This window comes from Homo sapiens, chromosome 13 (genome assembly GCF_000001405.40).
Source record: "Homo sapiens chromosome 13, GRCh38.p14 Primary Assembly".
Lineage (NCBI taxonomy): Eukaryota > Metazoa > Chordata > Mammalia > Primates > Hominidae > Homo > Homo sapiens.
In genome coordinates, this window is record NC_000013.11 from 106,414,628 (window position 1) to 106,429,112 (window position 14,485).

General features: G+C 39.9%; 1 pseudogene, besides 1 other annotated feature; it reads left to right on the plus strand.

The window, feature by feature from the left end:
- Window positions 8,565-9,210: an enhancer, noted in NCBI's record as "NANOG-H3K27ac hESC enhancer chr13:107075540-107076185 (GRCh37/hg19 assembly coordinates)". NCBI's record gives its function as "activates a minimal SCP1, AML or CMV promoter by ChIP-STARR-seq in naive H9 embryonic stem cells {active_cell/tissue: H9 hESC(naive)}" and the evidence as "EXISTENCE:reporter gene assay evidence [ECO:0000049][PMID:30033119]".
- On the plus strand, window positions 11,130-11,497 carry RPL35P9 (ribosomal protein L35 pseudogene 9; annotated as a pseudogene).

Here is a 14,485-nt window from a genome sequence, read left to right on the forward strand (position 1 = left end):
TGTCCCACCCCCTCCTATGAGGAGGTAACCCTGCAAGGCCTCCGATCTCTGCTTTGCTCACTGATGCATCCAGAGCCCCCAGAACCATGCCTGGAGCACAGCCTGCCTGGTGGTCTTCTCCACCTTCATTGAGCAAAGTGGCTCGAAAATTCCTGATCTGCTACTTTCCATATCAGCCAGAGGCTGCATGTTCACACCAGCGACGCCGACCCCACCTCCACAAAGAAAGAAGAAGACCACCTCTGCCAGGCCCTTCGCTTCATCGACACAGACCTAGGGTAACTCACTAAAGCTCTTTGCTTCCCCTGCTTACTGCAGCCTAAAGACAGTTCTTTGGAATAAGGAGCTAGGATATAGTACAATTTTGTGATAGGCAAGTACCTCATTTTTATTATGCAGTGTGCCTGAGGATAAATTTTGTTTAGAGCTCCCTGTTTTTCTGATAGATATATGACCAGTGTGTAGCGCTCAGAGCTAGTGACATAGAAATAATTTAACAGATGTAGGGATATGATTTTTCTCTTCCACTGTCTCTCTCTCAAACATCTTTAGTTTCACAGCTTCCTCACCGCAACACCTTACGTTTCTTATATATTACTTCTCAACACAGTAAGTCTGTTAAAGTATGAAGAAACCTAGGTGAAATTTTTCTTCTTCCTTGGAATATTCTTCTAAAGCCAACAGGAAGATTTAGCTGCAGACCGGCTGTAGAGAATTGTGACACAAATATAAAATGTCAAATAAAGAATAAAAGTGTTTATGTTGGTCCCTTCCTGAACCTACAATAGCTCTATAACAAATAAAGTAAAATAATCAGAATGAAGTAACAGCTATAACAAAAAAAAAATGGTTAATTAGCGAATCCTATCCCAAATATCCGAGAATTATGAATATTCAACCTCTGATGTGTAGAGGGAGAAACCTTACTGAATCCCATGTGTGAGTACCTCTGTCACTATCTTGAGTTGGGTATTTATAGTAACTTACAGCTGCAGATTCTTGACTGTACAGCCGTATGTTTTATTATTCGACCAGATGTAGGCCATAAAACTGTTTTATCTATTCTGGGGTTTGCTTAGTACTAATAAAATAAACTTCAAATCCCTAACTTAGTGGCTGTTGTGATATTGTAACACTTCAGCAAAGTACAGTTTTGCTATCTGGTACACTGAAAATGTTCTAAAGTCAAAGTGTACTTGGAAAGATATATTTCTGCTCCTAAAGATTTCATAAAGACCCTTGCAATTTGGATGAATTGTGCTGTGCAATGACTTGTTTTTCTATTGATTTCTAGGCTGATGGACCATAACCTTCATTGATAGTTCATTCTGGCTTCCTCCAGACTGAAAAGGAAATAGCACTGAGTCTCTTCTCTGCCTTGGAGCCTACGTTATTGATATTCTTTCATCATTATGTAGGAACATAAAGCTTCTGTTATGTTGCAATTATTATGTGTCTTTACTAGAATGTAGTTAGTGAAACAAAAATAGATGAGGCAGCCCACCACAGGGCTGTCCTGCTGTTCTCTGTTACACTGAGTACAATACACAGAGCTCAGAGAAAGCTCCCCAATCATGCTGATTTTTTGGCAACAGTTGCACAAAAGAAATCTTTCTGAAGTTCTCAAAAGTGAAAATGTCATAATTAGCATTTCAACCCAATAGGAGCTATGCAGAAGAGTTGAGTCAATTTTCATACAACAATGTATTATTTTAACTCATCTTTCTCTAGGTACTTTTTATGAATTTCATACCATTTTTAAGAAATGATATAATGAAACAAGATTATGAACCTCCTATGGGAAAGAGCTGACAAAATTTTGCCAGATTTTAGAAGTCTTTTGAGATTTCTTGCACTAGATTTTATCTACCTGCCCAGACCATGGAACGTAGTCCTATCAACCTACGACTATTGAGATTCCTTAAAGCTTACGAAGTTAAACATTCATAGGAACAAAATCTTTTATGCCTTTTTTTAACTTTTCATTAAACGGAAACAAAAAGATCTAATGATCACGCATGCTCACCAAAATAGATATTAACACTTCTGAGAATAACCACTGAAAGGCAGCATAAGTTAATTCAAAGTCAGGATGGGCATGAGAGAGCTCACTGGGTTTACTCCCTGTGATTGATAACAATTACCTGCCATTTGCAGACTATTTCTTGTTCCCTCCCTCTTTCTCAGTACTTCCTGGTACTGACAGGGACCACGTGACTGGTTCCAGCCAATGCAACGCAAGTAGAAGTGATGGGTCACTTCTGGGCTGAGTGTTTCCCTGGGGGTGCAAATCCCTCCAGAGCTGTCTCTTTCTCTGTTACAGCAACCAGTTATGTGCAAGATGGTGGCCACTCTGACTACCCGGGTAACAAAGGGACAATGCCACCACCCAGGATGTACATGAACCTTTCTTATTTTAAGCCACTGACATTTGGGAGTTGATTCTTACTAGCCTATTCTGACAAATTTTTTTAAATGATTATTTTTGCAATAAACTGATTCTTCATTTTGCCTTATAAAGATGGTTATCTACATTAGAAACAGTATACAATTTGGGCGGGTGAGAGGTGCTTCATATCTCCGGGTTAATAATGTGCAGTGATGAATAGGCAGAAAGCAGGAAACAACCGTGGCCACGAAGATAGTTGTTTTTCTAAATCAGGGAACTAGAAAAGCCTTCAGATTCAGACGGGGCAAAGACTGGGGCTAAGAGTTACCTGTCCCCAAATTCCTTTTGTTTTATAAGAGAAGTCTGGTTAAAATGAACTTCAGAAGTTGCTTTGAAGAGGAAAAATCGGGGGAAAGGAGACAAAATATACAACTAGAATCGGCTAAGTAGGCAAAAGTACCTGGTATTTATATTCTTATTATAGGTACATGAATTTCAGAACTTTGATTTTTCTTTTTTCTTTTTTTTTTTTAGTAACAGCTGTGACTTACCATTTCCCCCAACTACTGCCGGCTGGTCAGGGAAAGAAATCATGAGACTGCCGAGCCGCTTGCTCTACCCCGGGGAGCGACAGGAGAAGCAGGTGTGGCTGAAGATGCAAAGGTCTGAGGTTCCTTTGCTGCGTGTCAACTCCTGGCCTCGCAGCTGTGAATGCCCAGCTTTTTACCTTCTCCGTGTTATGACGACAGGAACACTCACATTTCACTTGCTCAAAATAACGTGCATGTCATACGAAAAGTGAACTTGATCTCTTGAACTTCCAGAAAACCCTCATTTGCAGCGGGTGAGCTTTCGTTTTTGGAATACAAATACAATTTAGGATCCCTCTTTACACTCTGGCTCTGCGTCATCCCGCAGCTTCTTCAACAGATTTTCTTTTTGCCCATGGCAATGTGAAACAAAGTTTTGTTTTTTTGTTTTTTGTTTTTTTTTTTTTTTTGCTTCCCAAAATGACAATATTGAGAACATCTGGTTTGTAGCCATCTTAAAGTTTGTTCTGCAATGCCATTAGGTTTAAACATCCGTCATTAAATCAAGGGATTGACAAAATGCTCTGAGTTGAATTGCAACAGAGGGTACTACATAATTATCTTTTTTTTGGAAACAAATTGAAAAAGAGTTAATTGTCTCTTCTTGAAGAGTGTGGGTCCAAATCACCAAAGGTATCTGTTTTCTTTTCCAAATGAGAAAATGTATTTAATTTATTCTACTAATTTTCCATTTTCTGTCCCACTGACTACTATATTTAATTATTCTAAATCTCTCTCCACATAAAGACAGTGATGCGCTTCTGACAGTCATTACAAAGATATTGTTTTGTAAATGTCTTTGCCTATTTGAAAAGCACTAAAAGTTTTCAGCAGTTTTGCCCCCCACTGGTTTCCTAGGCAGGCACGGATCAATATGTCATTTGATAAAATACAGTGCAGGGACACTACCCCATCAGAGTCCGGGTTCTCCTGACGTCTCCTGGTGCCAGCATCTTGCTCTGTTTTCACGTTCTCCGGGAAAGAAGAACTGATCAAACATAACGTGCACTGTGATTAGCTGTTTAAGCTGAAAGTGATAACAGATGAATATCATTAAGACTCCAGGACCTCTTAAATCCAGAAAGAAAACTAAGGCTGGATGAGTAAAGAGGCTGGCAGGTTGCCCTTCAGTACCCAGCTGAACAGCTCATCCACTGTGAGGGAAGTCATATGCGATTGATTAAATATAAGCTCTCTAGACAGCCTGATACCACTCCCAAAGCTTTTACAGTGATGTCTTTCCCAAGTGGTGGAATGAAGCAGCTTTTCTCTGCTTTATTGGGAAATGGGAAAACCCTGGTGTCTTCCTTTTATTCCCTAAGTTCAAGCTGCTTTTAGTTATCATTTATGTAAAGGATTAGATAATGTGAGAATATTTATTATGCTTGAAAAACATCATTTTTAGTCAAATTTTAAAGTTTCAATTTTTATTTTAAAGACGGGGGTACATGTGCAGGTTAGTTACACGGGTAGATTGCACCCAGATAGTAAGCATAGTTACCCAAGAGGTCGTTTTTCAACTCATCCCTCCAAAAAAATTTTTAAAAGAATTTGCTTCTTAAGAAATCTAGTATATAGAAACACTATCTTTTCTGTATGTAATTATTTTTAGTTTGGATAAGATACCTTTTTTTGAATGGTTACTAAATTATTCAGAATGCTAGATCCCAAAGCACAAAGAAAGAGAATAAAAATTAAGCAAAAGCAGGGTCTTTGTGTAAGGAGGAGCTGTGGGGTTCAAGTCAGGGCTTCACCCCTTAACTAGTTGGGAAATGTGGGCCAAGTTTATTTAACTTTGAAGTCTATTTTCTCAACTCTCCAATGTTAGTAATAAATCCTATTCCACACGGTTGTTATGAACATTACATTAGATAATGCTGATAAGGAACCTGGCAGGGAAGTGCTAAATAACAAGTAGCTATTCCCAATACTTCCAACAATTTTTTTTCTTAATTTTATTTTAACTTCCAGGATACATGCGCAGAACATGCAGGTTTGTTACATAGGTGTATGTGTGCCATGGTGGTTTGCTGCACCCATCAACCCATCCCCTAGGTATTCAGGCCCGGGTGCATTAGCTATTTCCAACGATTTCTGAATATCAGAATCATTTCTGAAGATCACTGAATATCTGGTGGACATCTTCGTTGCTGTTTGTCATAGAACATGTGATCTTGGCCCCCAGGTTTGTCCTTTTCAGGATGGGTTTCTTTGAGGCATGACTTTAAATGATTTTTGTTTTTCCATTTTTATAATAACTAAGAGTTTCACTTTTGTTCTTGGTTGGTGGGGATTTAATGAAATGGAGAATTGAGCACCTTCCCAATTAAAGTTGACCAACCAGGCACACGAAAGACATTGACTTTTCAAAGCACAGAGACAGCCTGAACCCATTATGCATGTGAACGGTACCACACATCAAAATGTCCCATTTAGCCCACTCAAAATTAGCATTAAAATAAAATGGGTAGGTAGACACTTTTTAAATCTTTTTAAAATTTTGAGGAACAAATCAAGAGAGTAGTTTACAAAGGCAACCCTTGGGCATTGCCTTCCTTCCCATGGAGGAGGGCAGAGCTGACTGCGTGTAACCAGGTTTCTGCTGACACCGTCTTCCCCCATCTCCCATCTCAACTGCTGAGTAGAGACAACCCTTCAATTATTATCTTTACTTGATTCTCAAATCCATAAACACGATGTTAAAGGAAACCTCAACCCCATAATGAGACGTTGTAATACTTTGCATCATGTTTTAAAAACATTTTGGCTCTGATCATAAATGGGGAGGATATTGTTTAAATAGCAGTACCTCCAGTGAATACAAAAAGATTCCTAGAGTTATCTTCCAATACTTCACAAAAAGCAATTTATTACACAAAATGTTAGGATGTTTTTATCATTAATAAGAAAATAACTTGATTTTTATAAAATGAAAAAATCATAGCCATATATGTGATTATAAACATATAATTTGTATGTGGTATTCATACTGGACTCTATCCTGTCCCCAGCCTACATATACTAGGACTAAATATTACCAGATAAAACACTGGTACAAAACTAGAATATGGGTTTTAAATTAAGCAAGTCTAACTTTCAAATTGTATGCTTCCTTATGCCATGGATAAGAAAACATTACAAAATGTAAAACCTTCTTGAATTGACACTTCAAATTTTCAAATGAATTCAGCCTTTTTGAGGTTTGAATTCCAATTATTTTGGACAAAATGGCACTTCCTGGCCTTGCAGGGAAAAAATATTCTTAAGGGGGCTTCTTGAAAATCTTCCTAAAGGATCCTGTCCCTCAGGATGCTTTCCAAGGCAAACAAAGTCTGAAGAGATGAGTGAAAATTAAGTCGATCCCTACAGATTAACTTCCTCCAGGGATCAGCCCCACCTGGATGTCAAATGGCCTAGGAACAGTCCCACAGGTGTGGTTGGTATTTGCTTCTAGGGTCAGTATCCTCTGATATAAACAAACTAAAGAGAACTGAGTGTGTTTTTCCTTTGGTTGAAAGTAGAAAAGGCATGAGAAAGGAATCTTGTTTACCCTAATAACTTCAAAATATTTATGAATATTTGAGTTGGGTTTAATTTCTTTTTAATCTCATCTACCTTATGATGGAAACTGCAAAGCATTTCCCCTATACTCCTTAGATTTTATAGAAGCTTGGCAGAAAATTTAGTATTTTCCAATGTACATTGGACATAAATGTGGAATTATAACAAACTATACTATTGTTAGCATCTGGGGCTATACTCCACTTTCATAAATAATGTAAATTTACTGACCATTCTGAGGATAAACACCCAAAGATAAACAAATAAAAGTAGATGCTGGTAGCTTCTATTTAATTTAATAGACGTCCAAACATTGGAAAATTGCAAAGCAGCAAAAAAAAACAAAAAAATGTTATGGGGATTGCCCAAAGAACAGGTAGAATTCTATCAGCTCTATTTTCTTTCTTACTATAATTTTTTTCTAAGTTCCCTAAAGATATTTAATGGGAGATGATTACACAGGGAGTGTGTACAACAGCTGATTTAAAAGCAGGTCAGAATCAGATTTAATGATTTAAAAATTACAATTATGATTACAAATACACGGGGGAAAACTTACACATTGAAAAAAACTATCAAAGAATGAAAATACAGTAAAGTGTTAATAGTTTTTTACCTTTGGGTGATGAGTCCGTTACAGTTTTGATTTTGTTTTTGTTTTATGCCTGTTTGTAATTTGTGTTTTCTGTATTTAGCAGTAACTAAACACACATATGTAATCTTTATTTTCATGTGAATTATTCAAAGGTAAATGACATAAAACACACACATACGTATATATATTAGAAAATAACTAGGTGAGGTCATGCCACAGACCTTTTTTTTTTTTTTTTTTTTAGACGGAGTCTCGCTCTGTCACCCAGGCTGGAGGGCAGTGGCGCGATCTCGGCTCACTGCAAGCTCCGCCTCCCGGGTTCACGCCCTTCTCCTGCCTCAGCCTCCCGAGTAGCTGGGACTACAGGAGTCCGCCACCACGCCCAGCTAATTTTTTTGTATTTTTAGTAGAGACAGGGTTTCACCATGTTAGCAAGGATGGTCTCGATCTCCTGACCTCGTGATCCGCCCGCTTCGGCCTCCCAAAGTGCTGGAATTACAGGCATGAGCCACCGCGCCCGGCTGCTACAGACCTCTTTAAGAACTCTACTCTTGATAATTGTTTTGGTCTGTTGGTAGAAGTAAGACTATGACATAGTTGAATGACTATATTTACTCTGTGCATTTATTTTGCAGTAAGACTTTCACTGGCAGAGCGCTGGCTTGGTCATTTTGGCGTGCCTCTACTGTCCTAATGTCTCAGCAGGACCTCAAACTCAACATGTCCAAAACAAATACAATTATCCTCCCCTGTGCGGAGTGACACACGCATATATCCCACCTAAATCCGCAGCTTCTGTAACTAATGACAGAATTATGCCAGCCTTAAAAGTTCTGGAACAGTGGCGGGCTCTTCCCTTCTTCCTCGCCTCCTACTGTGAGATTCAGCAGCCCAAACTCGCTTTGAGCTCTCTTGATTTCCATTGCCACTGCTCCGTCTCCAGGTTCATTCCCTCTCTGCTTGACTGTTACAGTAGCTTCCTCTTCTTCCTGGCTCTACACTTTATCCTCCTGACATTTAATACAAACAACTCTTCTGTCATTTGCCCTTAGGAAAACCCCCAGGTTTTTTAGATAGGCCGTCTACTGTCCCAGCTTTGGAGGTCAGGAGCTGGCTGTCACTGCCCCTGAACAAGCCTGAGCTTCCCTCTGGTGCCTGCACATGGCACGTGATTCTCATGCTCCCCTCCCACCGCTGCCATTTAAAATATTTGCTGTTCCCCAAAGTGGCTCTTTCATGATGATCACAACCCAATGTGAGTTCCTCCTCTCCTTTGAGCCTCCCTTAGTACTTTATCTGTGTATCTCTCTACATCCATCAAAACCTACCACAGGAAACACTTACCTGTAAACTCACGTTCTCACACGGGAGGCTCGGGAAGGGTAGCCACTCAATTCCTCTTCTTTGCATCTATGCTTTGCACCATGTGAGCCTCTTACCCGCATTGGTTGAATTTAAAAATATGGATTGCCCTGATACGAAAGATTCTGCAGACTGGAAACCTGGAAATTTCCATTAATAAGTTGATATCTGTAAGGCTCTCAGAGCAGCGCCTGGCACGTCGTAAGCACTGTGTAAGTGTTATCCACTCGTCCTATTAGCTATTAATCAGAGCTCAAATACAGGGAAAGGCAATGAATGACTCAGATACTGAACTATGTCAAAAAAGTGAAAACCAAATGGAACAGACACATCTAAAATTCAGAGCCCACCACACACATCACAATGTGGGACCCCAGCAAAAAGCCCAGCCCAGCTGAAAACAAAGGTTCCTGAAGTCTGAATGCAAACAAAGGCCAACCTAACGACACCTAAGGGGAGGGGAATTGGAGAATGAATTCCCTGGGGGGGACTTCCTGACCCTTTCTGACCTCCAGACTTAGCCCGGGGCTTGGAAAGTCACTCAAGACAGTATCTTTTATCGAAGTGACTGGTGAGACCAGTCCCAAGGGGAAGATTGACCTTTTTACTTCTTTATAGTGAAAAGTACAATGTGGGAGGGGAAGGTTAAGCTAACCCAGTCTCTGGAAGGTAACTCCCCTTCCACTTTCTATTGCACGTTTGCAAGAGTTTGTCACCGTCACCTGAGAGAAGCCTGCCTGCTCACCCGCCCACCCGCCAGCACTAGGCCTGTGGAAGGCCTGGGAAGTAGGGTGCAACCACTCCCTTCTCAGCTGAGTGCAAAAGAACCACAGCTAGCCCAAGTTGTTCTATAAACCCCTGAGAAAGAGCCTTCTTGGGAATACGGAGCGTCTAAGGTTCATTCCCAGAAGTAGTGACTGCAATTAACAAGAAAATTTAAAATTTTCAATTTCAGGAAAATTTCCATTTTAGGCAGAAGCCAGAAAAGAAAAAGGAATAATTCTTCCCTTATGTACAAGTTCGCCTCCCATTTTTTTGCAGGAAGTAATCAGCTTCGTGGTACCTCGTTTGAATCAGAAGTTTAGAAATTTATGTAATGATGAGCCTTGTTATGAATCTTAATCAATATTTTTTTGTCCAATTTTGTAAGGAAATAGAATTATCACATGAAAAACCTCATCTTGTTTCATTGTATTTTAACTCTCATTGATTCCAAAATAATAAAACCTCAGCAACGGCAGCTATTGAAAGTTCTTGGCTCTGAGACACGAGGATTCTCAGAGAAACTGAAGAGATTACATCCCAGGACACCAGCTATTTATCCTCCATCATTTTACATCTAAAATATTGACAGTGTCCCAGGCAATTTGCTATTCACAGATCATTTCATTGAGTCAGTACAGCACCCCTAAGAGGTAGAATATTTGTGGTATAGAAAGTCCACACACTCAGAATTCAAAGTAAGTTTATCATTAAAAAAAAGGTGGAAAAAAAGGAGGGAGAAGCTTATCCTATCAGAAACTGGAATCCTCAACCTTTAGGTTGTTACCTCATCAAAACTTCAGGCTTTGGGGCCGGGTGTGGTGGCTCACGCCTGTAATCCCAGCACTTTGGGAGGCCGAGGAGGGCGGATCACTTGAGGTCAGGAGTTTGAGCCCAGCCTTGCCAACATGGTGAAACTCCATCTCTACTAAAAATACAAAAATTAGCAAGGCATGGTGGTGAGTGTCTGTAATCCCAGCTACTCAGGAGGCTGAGGCAGGAGAATCTCTTGAAACAGGGAGGCAGAGGTTGCAGTGAGCAAAAAAAAAAACTTCAGGCTTTTTTTGTAAACACACGAGTTCAACCAGTTATTCCCTCCAGGAAAACACTGTCTTTGCTCATAAAGATTTGCTCCATGAGTCAGATATAGGAGAGAGGACCTTATAATCATCAGTACTGGAGGGGAGAAAGGGCCTTTTATTAATAAGTTACCAAAGCTTGAGAAGCCTCTTTGAAAATAAAGCAAACAACATACATTTTTAAAGGATCCCAATATTTGTCTGGTAAAACATTTCATATTTATAAGTGATCAATTGCTTATCGATAGAAGAAAAATAGTAAGGATCTCTTGAATAGTTGAGATCTTAACTTTCTTTGTCTAACTATAGACAGGTAGCATTGTATTGTTGGGGAAGGCTGATTCTTCACTGAAATTCATCTTCATTTTTTGTGTGATAAAGCTTAGAGTTTAAGTGGGTTAGCCAAGTTCACATAGCTTACAAGGAATTGCTTGGATTGGAAATCAGCCCCATTAGAAAGCCCGAAATCTCTGCATTTTTCTATTCTACTTCCCTGATTTGTTTATTTGCAAAGGTCAACGATAGCATTTCCCATAGAGGAATTTTGTCATGAGTAAGTGAGATAATAATATGTATAAAAGACTTGGCATAGTTTATCGGCTGAACCCTGTGCCCCGAAATTCACATGTTGAAGCCTTCACCCTCAGTACCTCAGAACATGACTATATTTGGAGATAGGGCCTTTAAAGAGGTAATTAAGGTTAAATGAGGTCATATGGGTGTGCTCTAATCCAATGTGATTGGTGTCTATATATATATATGTATATATGTGTCTATATACATGATGAATGGGTGGCCTGTGCAGCAATGGCCAAGATCAAGTCTCGAGACCTTCACAGGAAGAAGGAGGCGGAGCTGCTGAAACAGCTGGGCGACCTGAAGGTGGAGCGGTCCCAGCTGCGAGTCGCCAAAGTGACAGGCGGCGAGGCCTCCAAGCTCTCTAAGATTCGAGTTGTCTGCAAGTCCGTTGCCCGTGTTCTCACCGTTATTAACCAGACTCAGAAAGAAAACATCAGGAAATTCTGCAAGGGCAAGAGATGCGAGCCCCTGACCCTGAGGCCTGAGAAGACTCACGCCAGGCGCCGCCGGCTCAACAAGCCGAGGAGAACCTGAAGACCAAGAAGCAGCAGCGTTAGGAGCGGCTGTACTCACTGCGGAAAAAAAAAAAAAAAAAAAGACACAGACACACACACTGAAAAGATCATGAAAAGACAAGAGAAAGACAACCCTCTACGAGCCAAGGAGGAAGCCTCAGACAAAAAAAAAAAAAACAAGCCCATCACATGATCGTGGCCTTCCAGCCTCCATAACTGCGAGAAACACATCTCTCTTGTTCATGGCGCCCATCTGTGATGCTTTGTTATGGAAGCCCTGCTAAACGAATATGAACATATATTAGGTATTTAGGAAATGTGAGGCTCCTTTACCTTGGGAAATATGGAGGCCGGCTGCAATGACAGCGAATAAGCTTCCTCCAGGGTCAAGACATCAGCAACTTCTTGTGCCGTGTGAATGGCTTGGTGTACACACGTTGCTGCAAAGTTTGTGTCTTATTTCTTATTTGTGTCTCCCCTTCCAGGCTCAGAGCCCATTGCTTTGCTTATAGTAAGATTCATTAAAAGATGGAAAAAAAGATGTGAACCCTCAACAAGCCCCTGGCACAGGGCAGGCCCTTTTGAGAAAGTGCATGAACCTTTCATACTGCCAGGCTTTGTGTGGTTAGTAAGTTCAAGTTGTCTTTTACAGGACGGAAGACAACTTTGGGGGTTTGAAGGAGCAGAGGAAGATGCCTAAACTCCCTGCCTTGTTCTCCTGGAGTAACTGAAGCAGTGGAAAATCCTATTTATTGATTAGTAATAATACATATTTTGTAATAGTTTTTAAAAGAATAATGGTTCAATTCCCCTCTCTGCCACTTACAGTGATAACAGTAAAATTGAAAAATACCTAAGCGCATTTAATTTGCAAGATGGATTCTGCTATTGCCCACACCTGTTGGTAAGAGGTGAGCCCCAAAGCACTGCTACCCCGAGGACTTTGTCGCTGCCAGGAGCATGCTGGGTTGTCACATAAATGAGTCACTGACAATAGGGAATCTGACAGCAAGTGTTCCTTGGAAACCACTCCCAACTAATGGAATAACCCTCCACAACCACCCCAGGTGAAAACAGTGCTTGCCAAGTTCCCATACAGTACTCCATTAAGTCTCAGACTCATAAAATGAGAAAGAAGCACTGGATGGCCTCTTCAGCTGTTACAGTCCAGCCTGACACTGGGAGACGAGCATCTAGGCTACTGTCAGCATGGTAATAGTTGAAACTTTAAACAAATTAAACCTACTTCTTCAGATACTGGTGCATGCCTCAGAGGTTATCATTTTTAGAAACCCAAGCACTGGGAATTGATGTTTCCTGAGCAGGAGATTGCCAAGAACAAGATCACAAACTTTTGGTGTTTTTCTTTTTAACATATGAGTTCAACCAGACATTACCATATATCACTCTTTACTGAGTCTGAGGGCTTAGGAGAAGAAACCAAACTGATTTTTTTCTAAGCACGTATTCTATTCAAACATAATGAAACTTAAATGGCTTATTAAAGAAGATGGTAATAATTTTATTAAAATGTAGATCAAACGAACAAAAACATTTAAAAAGCCTAGAAACGTTAGTAGCATATAGAAAGCACTCAGGAAACATAGGTGTTACTTTCCATGTGCTGCCAATGGTGCTAACAGCAAATAGACTCACAGCTTTAGACATTTTCCTCTCTTTAATGGTTTTTAAAAAGATGACACAGGCCAGGCGCGGTGGCTCGTGTCTGTGATCCCAGCAATTTGGGATGCTGAGGCGGGAGGATCACTTGAGGTCAGGAATTCGAGAACAACCTGGCCAACATGGTGAAACCCTGTTTCTACTAAAAATACAAAAATTAGCTGGGCATGATGTCAGGCACCTGGAAGTTGAGGCAAGAGAATCGCTTGAACCCGGGAGGCGGAGGTTGCAGTGAGCTGAGATCGCGCCACTGCACTGCAACCTGGGCGACAGAGCGAGACTCGGTCTCAATAAATAAATAAATAAATAAATAAATAAATAACCAGAAGATGACACTAAGGAAGCAATGGAAGCTGTAAATACAAGCTCCTAGGTGAGAATTCTGGTGCATGGGGCGTATCGTTGCATTAATTCAATATAATGACTAAACAGCTTTGCAGCAATAAGACTGCCTCATCTAGACAGAATCTGATGAATCAACAAGAGGTGTGAGAAAGCAATTATGGATCCAAAATTGATAAGAAATAGTCAAATAAGTTGTGGAAAGTTGTAAATGATATTTCATAGCTCTAGGAAAATTAAATGTGTTGAATATAAAATACAAAATTATTGGCTAACAGTATGGAACTTGGCTTGTAAATGAGGAATGGAAGAGAACAGAGAATTATAAACTGGGGAGAAAAGTAAACATTCTATTTAATCTTAGACTTGGCTGTCAGGTTTTTTTTTATTTAAAGTTAAATTATTTACAATTGCCTATTGTATTTAACTGCAATATTCACATACATCTTTATAACTTTAGAACATTTTTTATTTTCACGAGGTCTCTAACTATTAAAAGTACATTGAACCAAAACACACATGCCTTTTTGTGGTCAGCAGAGAATTCCAATCCATCCATACACATTTGAGACTATTAGCCATAGGCAATGGGTCTTGCACGATGCCCTGAAGAATAACATACTGACATGTTCCAGAAGGGCTGCGCGCCCAGCAGAAAATGCACACGACTTTCAAAGTCTTTGAAGAGTAGCCAGATTCCCTGGGACATTGCTGCTACCTAGGTTAGGCACTTTGTGAATTTATTTTCAGGAGAAAAATAGTATTCTTTAATAACAAACTACTATAACACAGGACAGATAAATGAGTGTCTTCTCTCTAGATCTCCATTTCTTGAGGAAGTGGGAGAAGATCTGATGGTCTGTAAATTACCATTTCAGTTCTGACATTCCTCCAATCTTTGGAAGATAAGTTGCCCTTTAAATGGTTCCCAATAAATATTAATTTTAAACATGGATGAATATGTTATACCTAACCAAACTCTATGTAGCTTATAAAAGTTTCTTTCAAGTCTACCACTTAAACATGAATCC